The sequence below is a fragment of the Homo sapiens genome, chromosome 3 (genome assembly GCF_000001405.40).
Source record: "Homo sapiens chromosome 3, GRCh38.p14 Primary Assembly".
NCBI classification, from domain to species: domain Eukaryota; kingdom Metazoa; phylum Chordata; class Mammalia; order Primates; family Hominidae; genus Homo; species Homo sapiens.
Genome location: NC_000003.12, coordinates 69,434,848 through 69,459,991, shown reverse-complemented (window position 1 = coordinate 69,459,991; position 25,144 = coordinate 69,434,848). Strand labels below are relative to the sequence as shown.

At 40.3% G+C, this 25,144-nt stretch overlaps 1 protein-coding gene across 5 annotated transcripts in view; it reads left to right on the top strand.

Moving 5' to 3' along the window:
• FRMD4B (FERM domain containing 4B) overlaps positions 1 to 25,144 on the top strand; it is a 373,805-nt gene that overhangs the window by 82,595 nt on the left and 266,066 nt on the right. Inside the window, exon 2 of one of the 5 annotated variants that reach the window (XM_047447771.1) lies at positions 24,745 to 24,787. The exons of the other annotated variants lie outside the window; for them this stretch is intronic. The gene's annotated coding sequence lies outside the window, so the exon portion shown is untranslated. The remainder of the gene's footprint in view (positions 1 to 24,744; positions 24,788 to 25,144) is intronic. 5 annotated transcript variants of the gene reach the window in all.

The window sequence follows — 25,144 nt, the reverse complement described above, 5'->3', positions numbered from 1 at the left end:
GCCAGGCACTGGGCATTTAGTCTGTCTTTTCATGTATCCTATAATTTGATGGAGGTAAACAGTAAATAAAAATAAATAATGGATAACTAATTAAATAGATAAGTAGATAGAGACACCTACAGTTGCTGTGAGTTTGTTACAGACAAGCACAATTCAATATGGAACACAAAAGAGGTAACAATTACCAAGTGCCTGTTATGCTCCTGGTAGTCTTTTGACATGTTATGTATGTACTGACTAATTTAATGCCCACAACAGTCCTGTGGAGGTACATGCTATTAATACTTTAACTCTCATTTTACAGATGGGAAAACCGAGGCAGGGATTGGTTCATTGTTTTGCCCAAGGTCACATGGCTAATGGTGAAGCCAAGATTTCAATATATGCAGTCTGGTTCCAGAGTTTTTAATCAGTGTGTTTTATGCCCTCGATAGAAAGGTGCCAATCTAAGAAAGCACCATTAAATCTGTTCTGGTATCTTTCACAAGTGGGTAGCACATACAGGCATTTTAAAAATATGTAATGAATGTATGAGAGGATTAAGGTGTACATATATCTATATATTCTTAAAAATTATATCTAGCATAAAATGAGCTGTAGTGAGTCCTGCATTATCCATCCTCATTTTTTTCCTTTCTGAGTATTTGAGCTATTACCAGCTATTTCAGCCAAAGCACTGCTGCACTTTAATAAGAAAGGTGAAATGCAATAATTAGACAGAGCTCATTAAATCAGTTCAATGATTCTGAAGTAGGAAGCAGAGAACCATAATTTACTGAAATGTTTGAAGTATTAGTATGCAGTGAGAATAATAAAACTATGAAGTTAAATTCTTACAAGATTGCTGCAAGAAAAAAGGCAGTGGATCATAAACATGGAAGTACCAACGGTGTATTTATTGCATTTTGTTAGCACATAAAACACTGTGTGTTTAGGAGGAAGTTAAGCAGACTCAGAGTCTCAGGAAGCATGTGTGCCCTAGAGGTTTGTAAGGATCAGATTCTTCTGAGTTGATTTCCCATTTCAGAGTGAGTCAGCAGGCAGGTGTTCTTCAAACCAATTTTAAGTGACATCTTTGTGAATCCGAAGTGGTGGGTCTTTGGAGCAAATTAGACTCCTTTTTTTTTTTTTTTTTTTTTTTTAAGCAGCCCATCAGCTTCAAGGTTAGACTGTTTTTTTGCCACCTCATGGAAGACCCACATTCTACCCAGGTAATAAGAGTAGAATCTACCAATACACTGGCTCTGATTACAAGCGTGTTTTTCTAAGCCATGTTTGAATCATAATGGCCAACTCTGGTCTTCTCAGTAATTAATACCCTGAAGGTATCCAAACACTTATTCTGCTCATGGGATATTTAACCATGTCAGATGAAAGAGGAGAATTTGGCTGGCTATATTTTTTGAAATCTTCAAATCCTGTAACATGGTTAATTAGCCCATCAAATGTCCACCTTCCATGTTCAGTCTTTGTACGTTGAGGACACATTGTAGCTCTTCCCTACTTTTTGGCTAACCTCTACTTTAAGACCCAGTTTAAATGTTGTCTTCTCAGAAATCCATGCTAAATCTCAGACTAGACTAGTTTTTCCTATATTTTCCCATCTTTCCTGTCCTTTCTGTTAATATGATTTGCATAATCGTTGTTTAATGCCTCATGCTCTGTGAGCATAGACTGTGTCTATCTAGTTCACCATCGTATACCCAGCCCACATGACCCAATGTAAAAATCTAGTCAATAGTCATATAATGAGCACATGTATCCTAGAAGCTAATGAGCTCTATTTGACTCCATCTATGAGCACTTTCTGGGCTCTGTGGTGTAAATTTTGTTATTAATTTGCCATTTGCTTACAAACTCTTTTAGTGTGAGTTCCTCCAAAGCAGAACCTGAAACAGGATCTTGGGTGCAGGAAGCTAGTTTGGGAGAGGAGATTCCCAGGAAGCAAGAGAAAGAAGTGGAGAGAGTGAACAAGAGAGGGAGAAAAGCCAAGAAAGATGGCTTCTATGGGCACCAGGGGCTCCTTTCTGCCAACTCTGCAGCCCAGAGGCTGGGGTATTTATCCATGCTCCCCATTGTTGAGAGCTGCCCCTGGGGGTGTTACCTCCTCCTAAAAGCAGAGAGACAAATGGTGGAAGAATGAGGTGAGAGCTGTCCATATTGCTAGAACCGTCAACCTCAGCTAAGGCTGAAATTAGGGAAATGTGATTGTGGGCGCAAGGGTCGGCTACTAAGCCAGAAAACTTCTTTTCTAAATATATTTTCTAATCTAGATAGAACGGTAAACTGTGCTTCAGAAACAATTCAGTGGACTTTAAAAAATTTTTTAATATAAAGAAAAACATCCATTCTGTTTGGAGGACACCATAAATAATTTAGGGAAAACAAACGTGGCACAAGATTTTAACACTTCGACCTCGGCCATGTTACCATTTTAGTGGAGTGCAGTAATGACAAGCAGTGTGCCCAAAGGGACACACTCCCAGGACCCCAAGTAGATGTTCAAAGACTGGTAGAAACATTGTTGCTTTTTATGTAGACTAATATTTTATTTTCTCTATCTTCAATATCACTTATTTTCTCTCTTTCTTATTACAAAAGTAAAGCATGTTTATTATGGAAAATTGAGAAAATACAACAAAGAACAAAGAAGGAAATAAAAGCCATTTGTAGTTCCCTTACCCAGATACAGCCATGCTAACCTTTTTTTCCTTTCAGTCCTGTATCCAGACATTACAAAAATATAACCATCCTGTTCATACAATACTTAAAATTTTTGCTTGCTGTGGACATTTTTCTGTATTGGTAAACATGAATAAATAATTCCCTCCTTTCTTTTCTTTTTTCTTTGTTCCTTCATTCATGTCTTTCTTTTGCAAAAATAACTTTAACTTTTTCTGGTTATAAAAGTAATACATGTTCATTGTTAAATATACACACACACACACACGTTTGTGTGTGTGTATGTGAATTAGACTGCACAAAACGAACTCCTACCATTTAAAGCAGGAGTCTGCAAACTTTTTCTCTACAGGGCCACATAATGAATATTTTTAGTTTTGTGGGCAACATGGACTGTGTTGCAGCTACTCAGCTGCGCCATTTTAGTATGAAAGCAGCCATAGACAACATGTAAAAGAAAGAGTGTGGCTGTGCTCCAATAAAACTTTATTTAGCCAGTCCAGGAACTAGTTTGCTGACCCCATCTAGAGGAAAGCACTAATAATGTACAGACATATGCTTTTTTTTTTTTTTTTTACAAAAATGGAATCATACTACGTAAACTGTCTTGTATGTATTTAAATATTCATTAGTGTCTGTTGTGTGCCAGCTCATAGACAGTGGTGTATACAATGGCGAACAAGACAGACAAGGACCCTGCTTTCCTGGAGTTTACTGCAGGAGACACGATTAACATAGTAAGTGCTCTGAAAGTAATGAGGGGGCTGTGATGGAGAAAAATCAGCTTTCTAGTGTAGCATAACTTTTGCAACCAATCTCTCCTTTACGGGCATTTAATTTCCTTAATTGCTTCTATTATAGACTGCACTGTCAAACATTTTTGGGACTAAGGCTTTATGAAAAACCATCATTTTTTCCTTAGGGTAAATTCCTTGAAATGGAATAGCTGAGTCAAAAGGCATATGAATTTTTTTAGTCTTTTGCTAAGCATGATCAAACTGCTTTCTCGAAAACTTACATCAACTTACACTTCTACCTCGGTTGGCGTTTTTTTTCTTACTTTGTGCAAACACTTTGAGTTTCATGAATTGACAAAGTGAAATGAAAGTGTCATACACCTTGGCTGTGAAGCAGAAAGGAAGAGGTAGGGAGCCCTGTTTCAGATGTTTTGTCTCTGGGGGCATCCTGTGATTCAATCCCTATATAAGTGATGGAAAGCTCACAAGTTCTTTAGAGATACTCGGCACCAGTTATTAACTGCCTTCACCACGTGCCAGAAACTAAACTAAGTCCTTGATGTGCATAATCTGAATTAAGCCTCAAAGCAAAATGGAACTGATGGCAAGTGGTTCTGATTTAAGCCTCAGAACAAAATGGAACTGAGAAGCTACAAATGGCCAGGTGATGGTGGAACAGGATCCTGAACCTAGAGTAGAAGTCTCAAGCTGCCAGCCCTGTGGTCTGTTTTCTTTGACTCACACAGTGGGAGCCAGCACAATGTTTAAAAATTTATTAACACAGTTAAAGACATTAAAAAATTGGAATTACAAAGTGTTGCATAAAATTCGTAGTTAAAACTTTGGAAAAATTAAAACACCTAGCCACACTTGGGGTCACCTTGTGCCCAAAATTGGTGGGTTTTTGGTCTCACTGACTTCAAGAATGAAGCCACGGACCCTCGCAGTGAGCATTACAGTTCTTAAAGATGGTGCATCCAGGGTTTGTTCCTTCTGATGTTCCGTCGGACGTGTTCGTAGTTTCTTCCTTCTTACCGGTTAATGGTCTCGCTGGCTTCAGAAGGGAAGCTGCAGACCTTCACGGTGAGCCTTACAGCTCTCAAGGTGGCATGTCTGGAGTTGTTCATTCCTCCTGGTGCATTCGTGGTCTCACTGTTCTCAGATGAGAAGCTGCAGACCTTTGCCGTGAGTGTTACAGCTCATAAAGGCAGTGCAGACCCAAATAACAAGCAACTGCAAAAATTTATTGCAAAGAGTGAAAGAACAAACCTCCCACATTATGTAAACAGACCTGAACCTATCACTGCTGTGGCCTCTGGCAGCCTGCTTTTATTCCCTTAGCTGACCCCACCCACATCCTGCTGATTGGCCCATTTTACAGGGAGCTGATTGGTCCATTTTACAGAGAGCTGATTGGTCTGTTTTACAGAGAGCTGATTGGTCCATTTTGATAGGGTGCTGATTGGTGCATTTACAATCCCTGAGCTAGACACAGAGTGCTGATTGGTGTATTTACAATCCTTTAGCTAGACATAAAGGTTCTCCAAGTCCCCACCAGATTAGCTAGATTTAGAGTGCTGAGTGTTGTACCCACGAACTCCAAGCTAGACACAGAATGCTGATGGGCGCATACACAATCCTCCGGCTAGACATGAAAGTTCTCCAAGTCCCCACCCGATTTAGGAGTCCAGCTGACTTCCCTAGTGGATCCCACGCAGGGGCCACGGGCGGAGGTGCCCGCCAGTCCTGCATGGTGCGCCTGCCCTCCTCAGCCCTTTAGCAGTTGATGGGACCTGGTGCCACGGAGCAGGGGGTGGTGCCCTTTGGGGAGGCTCTGGCTGCACCAGAGCCCACTGCGGGGCTCAGGCATGGTGGGCTGCAGTCCCAAGCCCTGCCCCTCGGGGAGGTGGCTGAGGCCTGGCCAGAATTAGAGTGTGGCGTGGGCGGGCCGGCAGTGCTGGGGGACCCGGCACACCCTCCGCAGCTGCTGGCCTGGGTGCTAAGCCCCTCACTGCCCGGGGCCGGTGGCGCCGGCCAGCTGCTGGGAGTGCAGGGCCTGCCGAGCCCACCCCACCTGGAACTGGCGCTGGCCCGTGAGTGTGGCGCACAGCCCTGGTTCCCACTTGCACCTCTTCCTCCACACCTCCCAGCAAGCAGAGGGAGTGGCTCTGGCCTCAACCAGCCCAGAGAGAGGGGCTCCCACGGTGCAGCAGCTGGCTGAAGTGCTCCTCAAGTGCGGCCAGAGTGGGCACTGAGGCCGAGGAGGGGCAGAGAGCAAGCGAGGGCTGCCAGCACGCTGTCACCTCCCAACGTTCCTACTTGCTGTTAGTTGGGTAAAGTCAGGGAGTGAGTATCTCCTTCTACACATGGGACAGGAGTTCCTTTGATGATACTATTGAACAGAAATTACAGCCCACTCAGAAATTCCTCCTTCTTCATTGTTACTGTTATCGCTGGGGATACAGCAGGAGAATGTGTTCTGCCTCCTCATCCAATCTACTTCTCTTATTTATTTGATTGTCCTGGGCTGTGGGATGGTATAGGCCTGAGGAGGAGGCAAACATGGGTGCAGCCCACCACTGTGATCCAGCTTGGGTCCCAGTGCGGGGGACACATCAATGCTTGCTTAAGTGAGGAGATACCAAGTTCTTATGGGGACTCTTGTTTTCTAGGCTTCTGCCTCCCTCCTTTCACATCCATTTTTCTCACTCATCCTTTATCCATCATCTGAATTTCTTTCTGGTACACATCACTGCACTTTTCTTGGCTACATGGATTTCCTTACTCCATTTCACCTTAGAGAATGCACTTGGCCAGGACCTGCTCTCAAAGCGTCAGATAATCATCTCCTCCTTTTTCCAATTCCTCTCTGCCAAATGCCATGCACCCCAGCCAGGCCATGTGCCCATCTCTCCCCCACTGGGAAGCCATGCTGAGATTGGTTTTCTACTGGGAATATTCCTGGGATTTTTTAAACTTGTAACTCTGTGTGTCTCCCTAGGCTAGAGGACAACTCTGATAGCCCTAGCAGCTTTGAGAGCCAGAGTTTGGCTAGCTCCAGGCATCACTTTGTATTTTATTTATTTAGAGCTGCATTATGCAGCCAAGAAATCTGCTTTTACATACATGTGCTTTCCAGGTGCCCGGCGCTATGCACGGTGCCAAGTCAGAGGGTACCAGGAAGCAAAGTACAGTCTGAGAGTCTGAAGGTGCCATCAGAGAGTAAGGACCAAATGCAAGAATATGACCCCTGCACCAGAAGTAGATTCAGAAGGTCCCTGACACAGAGCCAGCCAGATGCAAGAGGCTTCTATAAGGTGCTGCAACACAAGGCACTGTACATAGATACAGCTTTTAAAAACACCAAATCAGGTCTTTTAATGGCCATCTACTCAAGCCCATCTCTTCATCTCTTCCCTAAGCCCACCTGACTGCCTGTGTCTTCAATAAACTCTCCCATCCCCACACTTCTGGAATTGTGTTGTCCAGTATGGAAGCCATTAGCCACACATGGCAACTGAGCATCTGAAACATGGCAAGGCCAAATTGAGATGTAGTGTAAATATAAAGCACACACTGGATTTTGAAGGCTTAGTACGAAAAATAGAATGCAAAATATTGTATCAATAAACTTACGTCAGCTATATGTAAAATAATAATGTTTTGGCTATGTTGGGTTAAATATATTGCTAAACTTATTCTATTTTTCTTTCTTACTTTTATTAATGTGGCTGCAGAAATCTGAAAATTATACATGTGCCTGTCATTTGTGACCCACGTTATGTTTCTGCTAGACAGTTCTGTTGTAGAGTACTTCCTGACCTAGCCACATGAAATGTGCTTCTTTATGAATTTGCTATTTGCTATATAGTCTCAGTCTCTAAATAGGTATAAGACAAGACTAATGTCTAGTTTCTCTCTGTTTCATCAGTCTCTGCCCAAGTGTCACTTTTTCTATTAGAGATCCAATGTGTATTTGATAATGATTCTTTCATTCACTTGACAAATATGTGTTGAACTCATACTCTGTGCCAGGCTTCCCTGGGAACTTAATAAACTTTAACTCAATACCTAGCATAATCCTGACAGGGTAGAAATTATTAGCTTTGTTTCACAGATAAGGAAATTGGGGTAGAAAGTCTAAATGACTTGCTCAAGGTCACCCACTCGGTAAGTGGCAAGAAAAGATTTCGCTTTTGACCAGCTCCAAATCACATGCCCTTTCTACTTAAGCATGCCAATCCTGTTGATCCTTCACCTCTGCCCAGTTGCTTCCTCAATACTGTCTTCTTCTTTGTATATACACACTTATTACAATGCTTGTTAATAGTCCAGCTTTCCCAGTAGACTTCATGTGAGGACATAAACTATTTCTCTTCCGATCACTGTTGCATCCCTAGTGCTTTGCACATGGCTGGCACTTAGTAAATAATCTGGTGAACATATGAAGGAATAAATGATGATGCTTCTTCCTCCTACCATTATAAAGTTCGTGTTGAATTCCATTTTCCTGGAGAGGAACAACTCAGTGTCTCAACAATATTGTAAACATTTGTTTTGTATTTTATTTATTTAGAGCTCCATTATGCAAAGAAGAAATCCATTTATGTGAGAGTCTGGGAAAGAAATCTCTCCTTCCCTGCTTGTCTCTCTTTCTGCACAGTATGTTATCTCAGACCAACATGACACCACCAGCCACCTGTCTTTTGTCAAAAGAGAATATGCATCCTCATAACAGCTGTGTGCTGGCTGTTGCCAGGGCCTTAGTACAGAGCTGGGACTGGTGTTTTTTTAAATTATCTTGGCATAATTTTTTCATTATGGAAGTGATCTGAATAGGTTGTAACATGCCAGGACCACCTAGTGGTTATAAGAAGTAAACCATCTTACCCACCAGAGAAGAAAGGCATCTTGGCATGAGAGGATTGCTGAGCTACAAACCATAAGGAATGGTTGCTAGTCTCAGCTTTGCCATGTTCTGTCTCTGCACTTGTGGGTGGATAAGCCATGATACCTCATTGCTGTAAACCTTATTTTTCATACCTATAAAGAGAAGACATTAAAATAGACCAGGGAGGACAGCACCATGGCCTGTGTACCACCGTGCTGTTTCCACCTTCCACTGCAGACATTGCTGATCAATCACAATATATTCTTCCACTGATCCAGGCTACAGCTTCATAAACCTTATCACAGCACTTCCTACAGCTATCATCCATCAGTCACTGATCATTGCCAGGCCAACAGTTCTTTCTGGAGTCTCACAAATGTAGGTAGTGGTTTATTGTTTGTTTGTTTGTTTTGGTGCAGGATAGGAAGAAAAGAGATCGCAGCAGGACAGTTTTTATTCTCAAAAACCATCCCTACTTTACTTGGAAATCACCACCCTGGCTATGATAAAATCACACATCATCCTCTGATATTACCCTGATGTGGAAAGGTCCCTGGGGCCCTGCTGGTTCCTGGAAGCACTGAGAAGCAGAGGCTCGGAGTGGAAGGAGGGAGCCACATTCTTTCTGAAGCTCTGCTAGAAGTCATCATTAGGATATGGCCGCAGCCTTGTACATAATCTAAAACTCGAGATATTAGCTGGGTTGTGGGAATTTCTTCTTATTAGTCAGAGCCCCAGTGTGTGGCTCTTCAGATAACTGTTTAAATTTGGACTTTTCTGGGAAAGTTTAGTTTAGTGGGAAGGCCATCAGAAAATGACTTTTCATGGCAAATGTACCATCAGATGGAAAAAGGCCACAGAACTGGCTTACATTTTTTGTTGTTGTTGTTTTGTTGTTGGGGTTTTGTTGTTGTTGTTGTTGTTTTGGAGGTGGAGTTTCACTCTTGTCGCCCAAGCTGGAGTGCAATGGCACAATCTTGGCTCACTGCAACTTCCGCCTCCTGGGTTCAAGCGATTCTCCTGCCTCAGCCTCCCGAGTAACTGGGATTATAGGCACGTACAACCATGCCCAGCTAATTTTTTGTATTTTCAGTAGAGACGGGGTTTCCCCATGTTGGACAGGCTCGTCTTGAACTCCTGACCTCAGGTGATCTGCCTGCCTTGGCCGCCCAAAGTGCTGGGATTAGTGGTGTGAGCCACCACCCCCAGCCTATTTTGTTTTTTTTTGAGACAGCGTCTCACTCTGTCACCCAGGCTGGAATGAACCTGAGCTCAAGCGATCCTCCCACCTCAGTCTCCCAAGTAGCTGAAACTACAGGCCCATGCCATGATGCCTGGCTAATTCTTTTCAGGCTGATCTATAATTCCTGGGTTCAAGTGATCCTCCTGCCTGGGCCTCCCAAAGTGCTGGGATTACAGGCAAGAGCCACGACATTTGGCCTGAAGTGGTTTACTTTTTTAAAGCATAAAAACGTGAACATAAATAAATGTCTGAAAGTATATAATCATGATGGCTAATGATTATTGTCTGCAGGCATTGTATGAGATGCTTTACAAATTTCATCTCACCTCATTCTCACAACCTTGAGAAATCAGTGACCTCGTTCTCCCCATTTTACTGGCAGGGAAACTGACGCTGAGGAACCTTGTTCTCCCCATTTTACTGGCAGGGAAACTGAGGCTGAGGAAGGTAAAGTAACTTCCATGCCCACAAGCTTGTCAAGCATAGGAGTCAGGATAAGAAGCCAAATATATGACTCCAGAAGCAGCCCTCTTAGTTTCTGTATCATAGTGCCCTACTAAAAGTTTGAGTGATTGTCTTAAAGTATGGAGATTAACAATTTTAAATTGTTAAAAATTGGTCTAACAGTTTTTCTTTGTGCTTTTCTGGGTTTTCCAAAATTTCTGCATTGAACCTGTATAACCATTGAAAACAAAACAAAACAAAAGCCTTAGGGGAAAAAAAAAATCACAAGACTAAGAATTTAGAATCTGATTCAGAAGACCTGGATTTCACACTCAGTCTTTTTAGCTGGTTGTCTGACCTCAGGCTGATAATTTCACTTGTCTGGGCCTTGGTTCCTTGTCCAGAAAATGTGATCATAGGACTGGATGATCTGTAAGAGTCCTTTTAGGATGGAAGTTATACACATTTATTTGAATGGGGGCTAGGAGATAATATCTAGATGCATTCATCCGCTTTTTCACCTCCTGGCAAATGATGATTATTTAAGAGTCAACTCTTTTGGGTTATGTGGCACAAAATACTTGTAGCTTAGTGCTCTGGAAGCAAAATAAGCTCCTTTTTAAAGTCAAAACTGTAAGGTTCTCAAAACAAATGTGTTAGAACACAATCTTCGTTGTCATCATGCACGTCTTCATGCAGGACTTGACATTTTAAATACAGTTCATTTCTGTCATAGATGTCTATTTGGTTATCTAGTCTAAACTTAGTGGTTGTGCAGTATGGAGGTCGCTGAGGTAATGTTAGAGTTAAAATACATGGTATCTTATTAAGTTGGTTGCATTTATAGATCTTGAGAGGCCTTGGGGTGATAAAAATCTGAGTTATGCATTGAATTAAGCAGAGTTATATAAAGCCTGTTGAATATTAATTTTGTAATGATTCACCTTACAGTTTTACGAGGCTACATATAAAAAGATGCTGTGAATAATTGAGCCCATCGTCTACAAAATGAAGTCTAGGGAATGGAAATAAAGAGAGCAAAGCCTTTTCCTTCTTTGCTAGCTTCTACCTGAAAACTCAGCCTCCCCAGTTTGTTAGAGCATTACATGAATGTATACTAAAAAAATTCAAGGAATATACACTAAAGAAAAAATAAAAATGTGGACATTCTAACCATATTATAGTTTTCTTTATTCTTTATAGTCTGAATATTTTATAATTTTTTTCCAGGTTGCATTTTTTCAAAATTGTTTCTACAATAAAGTAAACGCTTGCACGAGACACAAAATTATTTGTATCTCTTGTATCTCAAATTGCCCTTTGCAGAAGTTATACAAATGAGCAATAAGCCCCCGAAAATGATGCTCAACATTATTAGTCATCTAGGAAGTGCAAACTCAAATCACAGTGAGATGCCAACTGCTTCATAGCTATTAAAATGGCTAAAATTTAAAGACTAACAATGGCAAGTATCAGTGAGGATATGGAGCAACTGGAATTCCCATACACTGCTGGTGTAAATATAAAATGGTAAAACCACTTTAGACCATAGATCTCAGTTTTTTATAAAATTAAAAATTCCCTGATCATAGAATCTCACAATTCCACTCCAGAGTATTTACTGAAAAGCAATGAAAATATATGCCCATAAAAGATTTGTACTGGGGCCAGGCGTGGTGTCTCACGCCTGTAATCCCAGCACTTTGGGAGGCCGAGGCAGGTGGATCACCTGAGGTCAGGCGTTCGAGACCAGCCTGGCTAACATGGTGAAACATCGTCTCTACTAAAAATACAAAAATTAGCCAGGTGTGGTGGCACACGCCTGTAATCCCAGCTACTTGGGAGGCTGAGCCACGAGAATCCCTTGAACCCAGGAAACAGAGGTTGCAGTGATCCGAGATCGCAACACTGCACTCCAGCCTGGCCAGTAGAGTGAGACTCTGTCTGAAAAAACGAAAAAAAAAAAAAAGATTTGTATTGGAATGTCCATGAGAGTGGCATTTATGATAATCCAAACAGGAAAGAATCCAAATGTCCATCAGAAGGTGAATGGATAAATAAATTGTGATATAGCCATACAATAGAATACTATAAAATGAAACCATACAAAATAACAAACTACTAATATGTGCTATAACATGGATGAATCTCAAAAACATCATGCAAACCAAAAGGAGCCAGAGACACAAAAAAATTCAGACTATGTGATTCTATTCATGTGAAATTCTAGAAAAAGTAATACGTAATGTCAGAGAGCAGATCAGTGGTTTCCTAAGGGAAGGGCAGGAAGTAAGAGAGAGAAATGAGCACAAAGGGATATAAAGGAACTTCTTCGGAGAGAAAAATGTTTTGTTATCTTCTAAATACCCTGACTTGATCACTACACATTATATACTTGTAACAAAATTTCCCATGTATCTCCTGAATTTATTCAAAAAAAGAGAAATATTCCATATCTTGATTGTGGTGGTGGGTAAAGAGTGTATATATTTGTCAAAATCTGTTTAACTCCACACTTAAAATGGGAATATTTTATTGTGTATATATGTTATACCTCAAAAAAGTTGATTTTTTAAATGCCTTCTTCAATATCTCTGTTATTGGTACATTAGTATGTCTAGAAGATGATCTTATAAGATCTTGATTCCAAATCAAGGTTCTGGTTATTTACTCATTATGGGATCTTGAGTCTCATCTTCACATATATGAAATAGGTACAATAACTACATTTGGCCAACCTCACAGATTTTCCCTAAGAAACAAAAGAGATGATGAGTATGTAAAAGAGACTTATAAATTATGATACTGTTTAGAAAATTTGCTGTCACTACCACTCTGTAGCTCACTGTGCAAGTCAGAGTGGAATTACCTTCATTTGATACCCATTTAAAGCTTCAGTTAGTTGATCCTCTTATTTGAGCCCCAAATGAACCACCCCTATACTGAATGCCTGGCTAGAACACAGAGTATCTCAGCAAAATTTCCCTAGCATTAAAAAAAACTCTACCTGCTTCAATCTGTGTGACATGTGGATCAACCCACTCAGACTCTGAGCCCTTCACTTCCAGCAGTCACTACCTACACAATCATTCCCTCAAGAAGCACTGTAAGAGTCATCTTAGCTTGTCAATGAGGCTTAAATTTCATTTGACTGATGTCTCCAAAGGGTCTTGTGTTTTCAGAGGAATGCGCTCCATGTCAGAGATTCTAAACTAGTTGTGGGGTGACAATGAGGATATTCACAGAGAGTGAGATATGTGTCTTCTGCAAATTAACTTGTCTTCCAAGCAACAAATTGAGTTTTAACTCTGAGTAGAGGGAGAACATTGAAAATTGGGTTCTAACTTAATCTAAAATAACACATGGCCTGGCGCGGGTGACTCACGCCTGTAATCTCAGCATTTTGAGAGGCCAAGGTGGGCTGATCACCTGAGGTGAGTTCGAGACTGGCCTGGCCAACATAACGGAACCTCATCTTTACTAAAAATGTGAAAATTAGCCAGGTGTGGTGGTGTGTGCCTTTATTCTCAGCTACTAGGGAGGCTGAGGCAGGAGAATCAGTTGAACCAGGGAGGCAGAGGTTGCAGTGAGCTGAGATCGCACCACTGCACTCCAGCCAGGATGACAGATTGAGACTCCATCTCAAGAAAAAAAATAAAAAAATTTGTAGGCTAGTCACGGTGGCTCACGCCTGCAAACCCAGCACTTTATGAGGCTAAAGTGGGCAGATCATTAAGTCAGGAGTTCGAGACCAGCTTAACCAACATGAGGAAACCTCGTCTCTACGAAAAATACAAAAATTAGCCAGGCATGGTGGTACATGCCTGTAATCCCAGCTACTCAGGAGGCTGAGGCAGGAGAATCACTTGATCCTGGGAGGCGGAGGTTATAGTGAGTTAAGATCACGCCACTGCACTCCAGCCTGGGTGACAAAGTCAGACTCCATCTCAGAAAATAAATAAATAAATAAATCAACACATACATTCATTTGACAAATAGTCACTGAGTATCTACTATGTGCATTGTCCCAGGCTACGAGGATGTAGCAGTGAACAGGACAAAGCAATATCTCCCTCCTCTTGGAGGTGAAATTCTAGTGGGACAAGAAAGCCAGCAAGCAAATAAACAGTGTAATTTCAGGACCAGACAGAAAATAAACAGGAGTAGAGAATAACACAAACGTAGCTTAATACTATTTAGGATATAGTGATCTGGGAAGGTCATGCGAGTTGAATTCGAATTATGAGATGGAGCCAGCTATGTGAAGATCCAGAGAAATAACAATCCAAGCAGTGACTCAGCAAGTGCCAAGTCCCTGCAGTGAGAATGGACTTGACCCAGTAAGGTGGGAAAAGGAGGCCAATGTGGGGTGTATTGAGAGTGAAGGGAAGACTGGCATGAAATGAGATTTCAGAGGTAGATAGGAATCCACATAGGAGCTGGAGTTTAAGTGTTAGTCTATGTAAAATCAGAAGTCACTGAGGAGTTTTAAGCAGGGGGTTTAATGAATGAGAAGTGGGATGATGCGGAGGAAGAATATACAGGTTTATGGCCTGAGCAGCCAAGGTTTGGCAGGAATCTTTCTTAGGAGGCCACCTGGAGTGATTGGCTAGGGTGTCTGCACTCTTTGTCTGCTGTTAGAGCAGAGACCGAATTGCTCCGAAGACTGGAATAGCAGTATTTGTAAATATCCTGTGACGTGAACTCTGGTTATAAAGACTGCATCGTCCCCCTTCTGTGATTCTCCAGACATGCTAATAAGTGGGTGCTGGAAATGTCATGATCTTCTAATCACAACCTTCTTTTTATGAGCCTTTTCAGCAGACACCCGTTCAGGGCAAGCTCCAAACCCTTTCTGGCTGCTGTCGTTTCTGGCGGGTATGTCACTTGTATGCATCACTCTGACCGCAGCGGGAGTGCTCGGAGGAGTTTACTTTTGCTTTGCGAGACTTTTTGGAAGGTTGTCTATTTTTATTAATTGTGGCATAGGAATTACTTTGTCAGAAATTTTGGAGCCCAGGAGTCTAAAAAATTACAGGGTATTATTAAATATTTAAGAATTGCTTAATTTCTCCACGTGGTATGAGATTTTGGCTGAAATTGGATCCTTGGGCTATTTACATCTAGTTTAGCATTACAGAGCCAGTTTTGCCTATTAAAACAAGTTTGAAAATTGTTTAAAACAATCTGGTGGATAAGTGTGTGTAGAGATTTTGTTGTTTCTTTATGTTCGTGGAGATGAGTAGTGAACATAGCACTGAAACAGAAGCAATCATCTTAGCTTGTGAAAATCCTGTTTGAGTAATAATGGGAAATGTTATCTTTTAAAATGTTTTGGTTATTTTCTTTTCCATTACAAACATGATATAAGTTCCTCCTAGAAAATTTGGAAGGTATGGGGTGAGAGTCAGGCGTAACCTAATCACACAGAAATCCATGAGATGTTGAAGTCTCATAAAATGATAGAGCTGGAATGCACTTTTATAACTATGTGGTTGAAAGAAAAAAACAACTTTATGTCAATAATCACAACACTTCTGATACCAAATGTGTGGATTTTCCACACTAAGCAGTCAGTTCTCCAACTCCTCATACACCAACTGGATGTCCTCAATTCAATTCAGTTCAATTTTGATTTCACAAAATCTACCTGAAATTAGCATCAGATACTGTAATCACCCAAATGTGTTCTTCTTGCCCGCTGCACAGATAAACCCAATTCACTGAGACAGCATTATTGCAGTAAACAAAGAGTTTAATTAATGCAAGGCTGGCCAAGCAGAAGGATTGGGGCTGTTACTCAAATCAGTCTCCCCAAAGACGCTAGGGTTTTTCAAGGATAGTTTGGTGGGCAGGGGGCTAGGGAATGGGGAATGCTGATTGGATGGGAGATGAAATCAGAGGGGTGTGGAAAATGGTCCTCGTGTGCTGTCAGCCTCTGGGTGGGGGCCACAGGTCCAGCTGAGTCCCTGGTATGGGTGAAGTTAGTCATCAAAATGCAAAAGTCTGAAAAACATCTCAAAAGACCAATCTTGGGTTCTACAATAGTGATGTATCTACAGGAGTAATTGGGGAAGTTACAGATCTTGTGAGCTCCAGAACAATGGCTGGTTATTGTTTTAACTGTGCCTACATCTTAGCAGAATTCAGGCCCTCTTGTAATCCTAACCTTGTGGCTTTTCATTAGTTTTACAAAGGCAGTTTAGTTTGCAGAAGGGCTATTATCATTCTTGCTTTAAGCTTAAACTATAAACCAAATTCCTTTGAAAGTTAGCTTGGCCTACACCCAGGAATGAGTGAGGACAGCAAGTGTGTGTTGCTGGAAGCAAGATGGAGTTGGCTGTGTCAGATTTCTCTTACTGTCATAATTTTGCAAAGGTGGTTTTGGCCTCACAGGTTAAGGGCTCAGTCCCATAAGACTACCCCATTTCAGATGCCAATTGCAAGTCCTGGGCCCTCTGCACTTTTGACCAACTTAACTACAAATTAGGGGTTCCTATGACCTCCTGCTCAGGTTTGACAATTAGCTATAATAGCTCATAGAACTCAGAGAAACACTTCACTTACCAGTTCATTAGAAAAGATATTATAAAGGATACAGACAAACAGCCAGATGGAGATGTATATATAAAGTCCAGAGGGGTCCAAAAAGCAGGAGTTTCTGTGCCAGTGGAGTTTGGGATGTGCCGCTCTCCCAAAAAGTGAATGCATTCACCAGGAGGCTCTCCAAACCCCATTGTTCAGGGTTTTTATGGAGGTTCCATTAGTTAGGCATGATTGAGTAAATTGTGGCCACTGGTGACTGAACTCAACCTCCAGCCCCTCTCCCCTCCCTGGGGGTCAGGGGGTGGGACTGAAATTTCCAACCCTGTAATCACATGGTTGGTTCCTCTGGCAACCAGCCCCCACCCTGAAGCTGTGTGGGGCTGGAATCCCCCAGCCATCTCATTAACATAAACTCAGATGTGGTTGAAAGGGGCTTATTATGAGTAACAAAAGATGCTTCTCTCACCCCAATCACTCCGAAGTTACAAGAATTTCAGAAGCTCTTTGCCAGGAACTGGGGAAGAACAAACAGATTTCTTATTCTATCATAACATCACACTGGCCCACCTTCTCATTGTGCATATGAAGAAACTGGCCCAAAGCCACTCAGAGTCTAGAACCCATTTCCTCACTGCCTGTTTGAGCTGTTGCCCTGATAATGTTTATGTGGCTTCATAAGCAGGTCTGGTTGTCAGGGCTTCAGTGGAGGCACATGGATCCGCAATGCCCTCTTCTTGGGCAAAGAGGACATGACATAGGACGTCAGTGGGTGCACGTATGGCTCCATCTGCCCCCTAGTATTTGGGAGGCTGCATCATCTTAAATAAGGATGGCATTAAATTGCCTTAACCTAGTATTTAATACTCATAAATACTCACTTATGAGTATTTCTCATAAGTGGTTTTTGGACTACCTATGTTAGAATGATCTAGAGTGCTTGTTGAAAATGAAGGCCCCACCCCTGGTTTGTGGAATCAGAACCTCTAGAAGTGGGATTGACAATCTGCCTTCTTAACAAACTCAGATTCACTTAAAAATAACAATTTTTCAATAGAATAAAACTTATTGGCAGGGCATAGTGGCTCATGCCTGTAATCCCAGCACTTTGGGAGGCTGAAGCAGGAGGTTCACTTGAGGCCAGGAGTTTGAGACCAGCCTGGACAATATAGTGAGATCCCATCTCTAAAAAAAATTTAAAAATTAACTGAGCATGATGGTGTGCACTTGTAATTCCAGCTACTCAGGGGGCTGAGTTAGGAGGACTGCTTGAGTACAGGAGTTCAAGGCTGCAAGCTATGATTGCATCACAGCCTGAGTGACAGAGTGAGACCCCATCTCAAAAAAAAAAAAAAGAAACTTCTTTGGTGAATCATTCAGATTGTGTAATCTGAGATAGATTAGATAGCTGGAGATTTGTAAATGGATAAATGGTTTCTGGATTTATGCAAATAAACTTAATAGCTATCTCTTAGGAGTAGAAATGGGCCGAATAGACAGTGGCACTTTCACTGTTCTAAGCCACTTGGAAACCTGGAATGCAGAACATAAATGTGTTTGGAATCCGTTTTGTAAGTATTTCTGCAGTTAAACTATTTGTTCAAGAGACTAGAAATGTCTTACATCATTATTTACTGCTAATATATGGGAGAAAGGAAATACCCCTTTGTTGATATAAGAGGACACAGGAGGAGCAACCAGGGGCATTAGGGGAGATCCACGTGAGTTCATTTTTCCACTCAGTTATCCATTCAGCTCATATTCACTGAACAGCTGCCATGTGCCAGGAATTGCTGTAGGTTCTGGGGACACAGAAAAGAACAAGGCAGCAAGGTCCTCAATCATGTGGAGCTTATAGTATATCGTGGGGAATAATACACCAATAAAGAGTTCAAAGAAGATAAATTCAAATTGTGGCAAGTGCTGTGAAGAAATAAAGAAGCTATGTCATTACGGATGGTTGGAGGGCTACTCTCTGGTGGGCAGGGATAGTTTCTCTGAGAGAAGACATCTGAACCGAGGCCCAAACAGCAGGAAGAAACTAGCCATATGCATATCTGGGGAACAAGATTCCAGAAAAAACACAGCCTCAAGGACAAGGGTCCCAAAATAAAATTAGCTTGGTATGTTTGAGTACATAAAGAAAACCACTCCACTCTCACTGCCTCACTTGACTAACCTTAGAAAAAAAAGTAAAGAAAACCACTGTGGCTAAAGCTTAATGACTAACAGAACATACAATAAAAGTCCAGGAGGAAGATAGGAAACCATGTCCTATAATCATGCTCCAGTATGGAGTTCAAATTTCATTCTTAGTGTAACAGAAAGCCTCAGGGGAGCTACATTCAGGGAGGGATGATTTGCTATCTTCAGATTTGGGTTTCAAAAAAATCACTCCAGAGCTCAAAACCACTCAGAAACTCAGAGTACGTTTTAAGAAAATATACATCTGCTTCAGGAAAAAAAGGTTATTGTAAATTATTTTTAAAAGAGCTAAAGAAATGACAAGATATACCATATACGTGGAAAGGAAGATCAATATCATGAAATGTTGAGTATTTACAAATTCATTGTAGTTCTAAGCAAAATCCCCAGCATTCTGAAATATGAATGCAAATGTAAGTATTCAAGAATTTTTTTTTTTGACAGAGTCTCTTGCTCTGTTGCCAAGGCTGGAGTGCAATGGCATGATCTTGCCTCAGTGCAACCTCTGCCTCCCAGGTTCAAGCGATTCTTGTGCCTTAGCCCCTCAAGTAGCTGGGATTACAGGGGTGCATCACCACACCTGGCTAATTTTTGTATTTTTTTTAGTAGAGATGGGTTTTCCCCACGTTGGCCAGGCTGATCTCAAGCTCCTGGCCTCAAGTGATCCACCTGCCTTGGCTTCCCAAAGTGCTGGGATTACAGGCATGAGCCACCATGCCCAGCCACATTCAAGAATTTAATAAGGGAGTTTTGTGAAAGAATAAAAGATTAGGAGTTCCTCTATCAAAATTTATTATAAAGCCATAGACAGTATTACTGGTGAAGGGTAATTGAAAAATAGATCAATAGGACAGAAAAGAGAGCCCAATGATGAACTAAACAAATATGGTTCTTTCTATATGATATAGGATGCTTTAGAAGTTACAGAGGAAAACACAGTATCAAAAGTAAATGGTATTGTTACAACTGATAGCCTGTAAGAAGAAAAAATCAGATTCTTACATAACAGTTTGTACAAGAATAAATTGTGAGATGGATTAAAAACTTAAATATAAGAAATAAAAATGTAAAACCTTTAGATGGGGAGAAAGGAATCTTAGAATAAAGTAGATTTTATAAACTAGAGTCTCAAAAGTCACACTCAAGTTTGGATGAATTTCACTATATCAAAATGTATAACTTCTGCATAACATGGCACCATAAAATAAAAAGACAAACAACAAACTGGTAGAAGGCATTTGCAACCCCAAATAACTACCAAAAGCAAGTTTCCAGAATCTCTAATGAACTCCTACAAATCAAAAAGGGAAATTTAAACTACCCAATAGAAAAATAGACAGCTTATTAACAGGCACTTCCACAAGGGGGAGACATGAATGAGCAGTAAAAATTGAAAAGGTTTTCCACAGTGCTAATAAAAGCAGGAAATGCAAGTTTAAAAATCATAATGAAACTGCATTTTATGCCCGTCACAATAGCAGAAATTCAAAAGGCTGACAATGAGACTTGGCAAAGAATTGAGGTAAACAGGCACTCTGAGCTGTGGCAGGTGGCACTTTGGAGAGCAAGTTGTCATTCCCTAGTTAGACTTCTAAACACACAGATTCTACCACACAAAGATTCTACTTCGGGACAGAAATCAGCAGCATTTCTCAAAGGAGGGACTCTTGGTATTTTGTGGGGGACAAAATATTTAGGACTCTCATGCACTGTACAAAATTTAGCATCCCCTGCCCCATTCCATCCCCATCTCACGAAAGATTCTCCCACATTTCCAAATAATACCTTGGAGGATTGGACCACCCCAGGTGAGATTTACCAGGAGAAATTCCTGCATATACCCACACAGTACTGCCATGTACTCTCATGTAGGTTGTGCCCCAAACACCTCTCACAACTAAACAGGGAGGCCTCTGTACAGAAGGAGAATCATGAGGATGTGTGCTGTCGCATCCTTTGTTATAACAAAAATCGGACACTACCCAAATAGCCATCAGTCCACAAATGGAGAATTAAACTGTAATTCAGTCATACGACAGAGCACTATGCAACAGTTAATAATCTAGATCGCAAAAAACCATGTTGAGCAAAATATAATAGGCAGCATAATACTCTTTATAAAAAGTTTTAAAATTACAAAATCATAGAATATGTTTGGACACATGCACACACACACACACACACATACACACACACGCACACGAACTAAATATCTACCAAATTCAGAATAATGGTTGCTTCTGAAGATGAAGAAAGAATTGGACTGGAGAAATTAACATAGAAGATAAATTCTGTGTGGTTCTATCACTTAAAAGAGTAAAGACAGGATGTGAAAAAATATGAAAAACAACGTTTGTTAGTTTTGACTGATGGGCGCATGGATAGGAGTTTGTTGCATTTTCTTCTGTATATTTCCATATTTTACCCCCACTTTGGCTGCTGAATATACAGTGAATGGGGATGAGTGGAAGGGTGAGGATGGAGATTGGGTGGTGGGAGGCAGTACTGGAACCAGAGAGGAGCCAGGCAAGGACCCCAGCATCCCTCCCTCAACTGCTTTGAACTCCAAGAGTGTGTGACCACTTTTTTGCTTCATTTATCTATTGCCCAAAAGGTTTTCCTGGATGAACACTTCCCCTTGTAGCATCCTCTGCCTTCCAAGTATTGAAATTGTCACCTAAGCAAGCCAGGAATTTGTCAACAGCTAGATTTTTAGCAGAATGACACATTCAAGTGATGTCTAAATAATTTAAGTCTGCCCCATCCCCATTCCTACAATTTTGCTTCTATATCCTTTTTTGTCTTGAACATATTTTTATTGTGGTAAAATATTCATAACAAGGCTGGACGCAGTGGCTCATGCCTGTAATCCCAGCACTTTAGGATGCCAAGGCCCAAGGATCATTTGAAACCGAGAGTTCAGGAACAACCTGAGCAACAAAGCGAGAACCTGTCTCTACAAAAAAAATTAAAAGTTACCCAGGTGTGGTAATGCCGCCTGTGTAGTCCCAGCTGCTCAGGAGGCTGAGGTGGGAGGATCACATGAGCCAAGAGGTTCGAGGCTGCAGTGAGCCACAATCGCACCACTACACTCCAGCCTGGGTGACAGGGCGAGACCCTATCTTGACAGTATATATGTATATACTATTATATTATATATAATAGATAATAATATATTATGTAATTATATATCATATAGTAGTATATATAGTTACATATAATATAGTAGTATATATAACAGTATTATATATACTTTTATTTACAATAATAGTATATATTTATGTAGTATTATATTAGTATATGTTATATAGTATATATAATATATAATATATATTATACAATAATAGTATATATTATATAGTATATATACTACATATATACTACATATATACTATAGTATATATACTATATATGAATATAAATATATATAGTATATATAAAAATATAAATATATATAAATATAGTATATATAGTATATATAGTATTTATACATACTTTATATAGTATTGTATATAATATGTATTTATATATATTATATTTATATAGTATATATACTACATATATACTATAGTATATATAGTATGTATACAAACTTTCTCTGTATATATATAGTATATATATTTATATAGTATATATAATATACTATTAAATATTGTAAATAATATACTGATATATAATAGTACATATTATATATTTTAATTAATATTTATTATATTATATAATACATACTACATATAACAGTGTATGTTATGTATAATACTATGAATAGTATACTAGTATATACACTAGTGTATATATTTTATATTATATATATGTATATATACACACATACATAACATAAGAGTTACCATTTTATCAATTTAAAAATTACAATTGGCCAGGCACAGTGGCTCATGCCTGTGAACCCAGCACTTTGGAAGGCAGATGCAGGAGGATTGCTTGAGCCTAGGAGTTCCAGACCAGCCTGAGCAACATAGTGAGACCTCATCTCTATAAATTTTTTTTAAAAAGCTGGGCATGGTGGCGCGTGCCTGTGGTCCCAGCTACTCAGGAGGCTGAGGTGGGTGGGTCGCTTGAGCCTGGGGGTTTGAGACTGCAGTGAGCCATGATTGTGCCACTGCACTCCAGCCTGGGCGACAGAGTAAGACTCTGTCTAAGTGCATTCACAATGTTGAACAACCACTACCACGATTCATCTCCAGAACATTTTTCATCATCCTGAACTGAAACTCTATGCCCATTAAACAATAACTTCCCATTCCCCAGTACCCCCAGCCTCTTGTAAACTCTGCTCTACTTTCTGTCTCTGTGTATTCAACTGTTCTAGATAATAATTACTATTCAACTATTCTAGATACTAATCACTCCATGTAAGTGGAATCATACAATATTTGTCCTTTCATGTCTGGCCTATTTCATTTAGTATAATGTTTTCAGGACTCATTTATGTTGTAACATATATCAGAATCTCGTTCCATTTTAAGGTGAAAAGAATTATAATCCATGTTATGTATATGCCATATTTTGTTTATCCATTAATCTGCTGATGGACATTTGGATTGTTTCCACCTTTGGTAATTGTGGATAATGTTTCTATGAACACTGGTGTACAAATATCTGTTCAAGGCCCTCCTTTCAATTCTTTTGGGTATCTGCCCAGAGATGGAATTGCTGGATCATATGGTAATTCTATATTTAACCTTTTGAGAGACTACTAAACAGCTTTTCATAGTGGCTGCACCATTTTACAATCCCATCATCAATGCACTAGAGTTCCAGTTTTTCCACATTCTCACCAACACTTCTTATTTTCCTTTCATTCCCCAAATATCCGTCCTAGTAGGTGTGAAATGGTATCTCATTGTGGTTTATCCTACAGTTTTTTTATTATCAGTGTTAAGAAAGCATTGTATATATTTCCGTCTGATTGATTGATCCGTAACACCTACGTTTTTTAGTATTTCAGCATTTCCCAAAGTGTGCTCCACAGAATATTGATTGCATTATTAGAGGTTTTATTATTAGATATTTATCATTAGAGATTGCATATATTAGAGGTTTCTATGGGATAAGAATAGTGAGGGAGGGGAACTCTCTGGTGAAGTAAGCTGAGAAAGGAAGCAAACTCCAGTAGAGTCATTTCCAGTGCATACATAACTTCTGCAAATTCAACAAGTGAGTAGGAGGTGGTAACTGAATCTCCTGTCCTTTGATTGGTCTCAGTTTTCTCAAGTCTCTTATGCTGAGAGTGATTCTGTTATCTAAAGATATGCACCTTTTTATACAAATGGCCCATAAATAGAGCCTTTTATGTAGTGCTTGAAGAAAATTTTATCTGTTGCAACTTTGAAGGAAAAACTGGCTATATTCATGATGATGTAGTTGCTGGGCTCTATGTTGGCACTTTCCCTAAGGGATTTTCCAGTGTTCATTTTGACTATACACAGTTTTCACTTTGAACTGACTTTAGAAACTACCTCCCACGTAAGATGCAATTTTACTATATATCTTCCCCTTGAAGATTGGAAAGACCTTGAAAAGCCCTACTGTAAAGAAACCTGATTAACACAGTTTAAACCAGGAGTTGGCAAACTTTCTCTGTAAAGGGCCAGCAAACTTTCTCTGTAAAGGGCCAGATAGAGTATATTTTCAGCCCTGTGGACCAGAGAGTTTCTGTTACAACTATTCAACTCTGCAGTTGTAGCTCGCTAACAGCCATAGACAATCAATACATAAATGAATAGACATGGCTGTGTGCCAATAAAACTTTATTTAGAAAAATATGCAGCATGCTATATTTAACTGGCAAGCATAGTCTTGTGATGCTTGGTTTACACCATAATGACCAAGGTTTATTAAATGGCCTTCCTCTCCTTTTTTTTTTTTTAACCTAAAACCTATAGTAAACCCTTAGATTCCTGAACTTGAATTCAAATATTAGAGGGCTTCAGCTCTTCATGAATGACACTGAAGGTTGATGATAGGTTGTTACTTTTCAGGTGTCTGGATTTTCATCTCTGCGGTACCAGAACTAGTCACTTGGTGAGTGTTATGGGCTGAATTATGGCCAGCCCTTAGATTGATATAGTGAAGTCCTAATTCATAGTACCTCAGAATGTGACTGTGCATGTGGATAGGGTCTCTAAAGAGGTGATTAAGTTAAAATTAGGCCTTGAGGATGGGCCCTAATACAATGTGACTGGTGTCTTTATAAGAAGAAATATGGGCACAAAAAGTGGTACCAGGGGTGTTTGGGTACAGAGGAAAGACCATGTAAAGAGGTGGCCATCTGCAAGCCAAGGAGAGAGGCCCCAGAGGATACCAGCTCTGTTGACACCTTGATCTTGGACTTTAAGCCTTCAGAAATGTGAGAACATACATTTTGTTCTGTAAGCCATG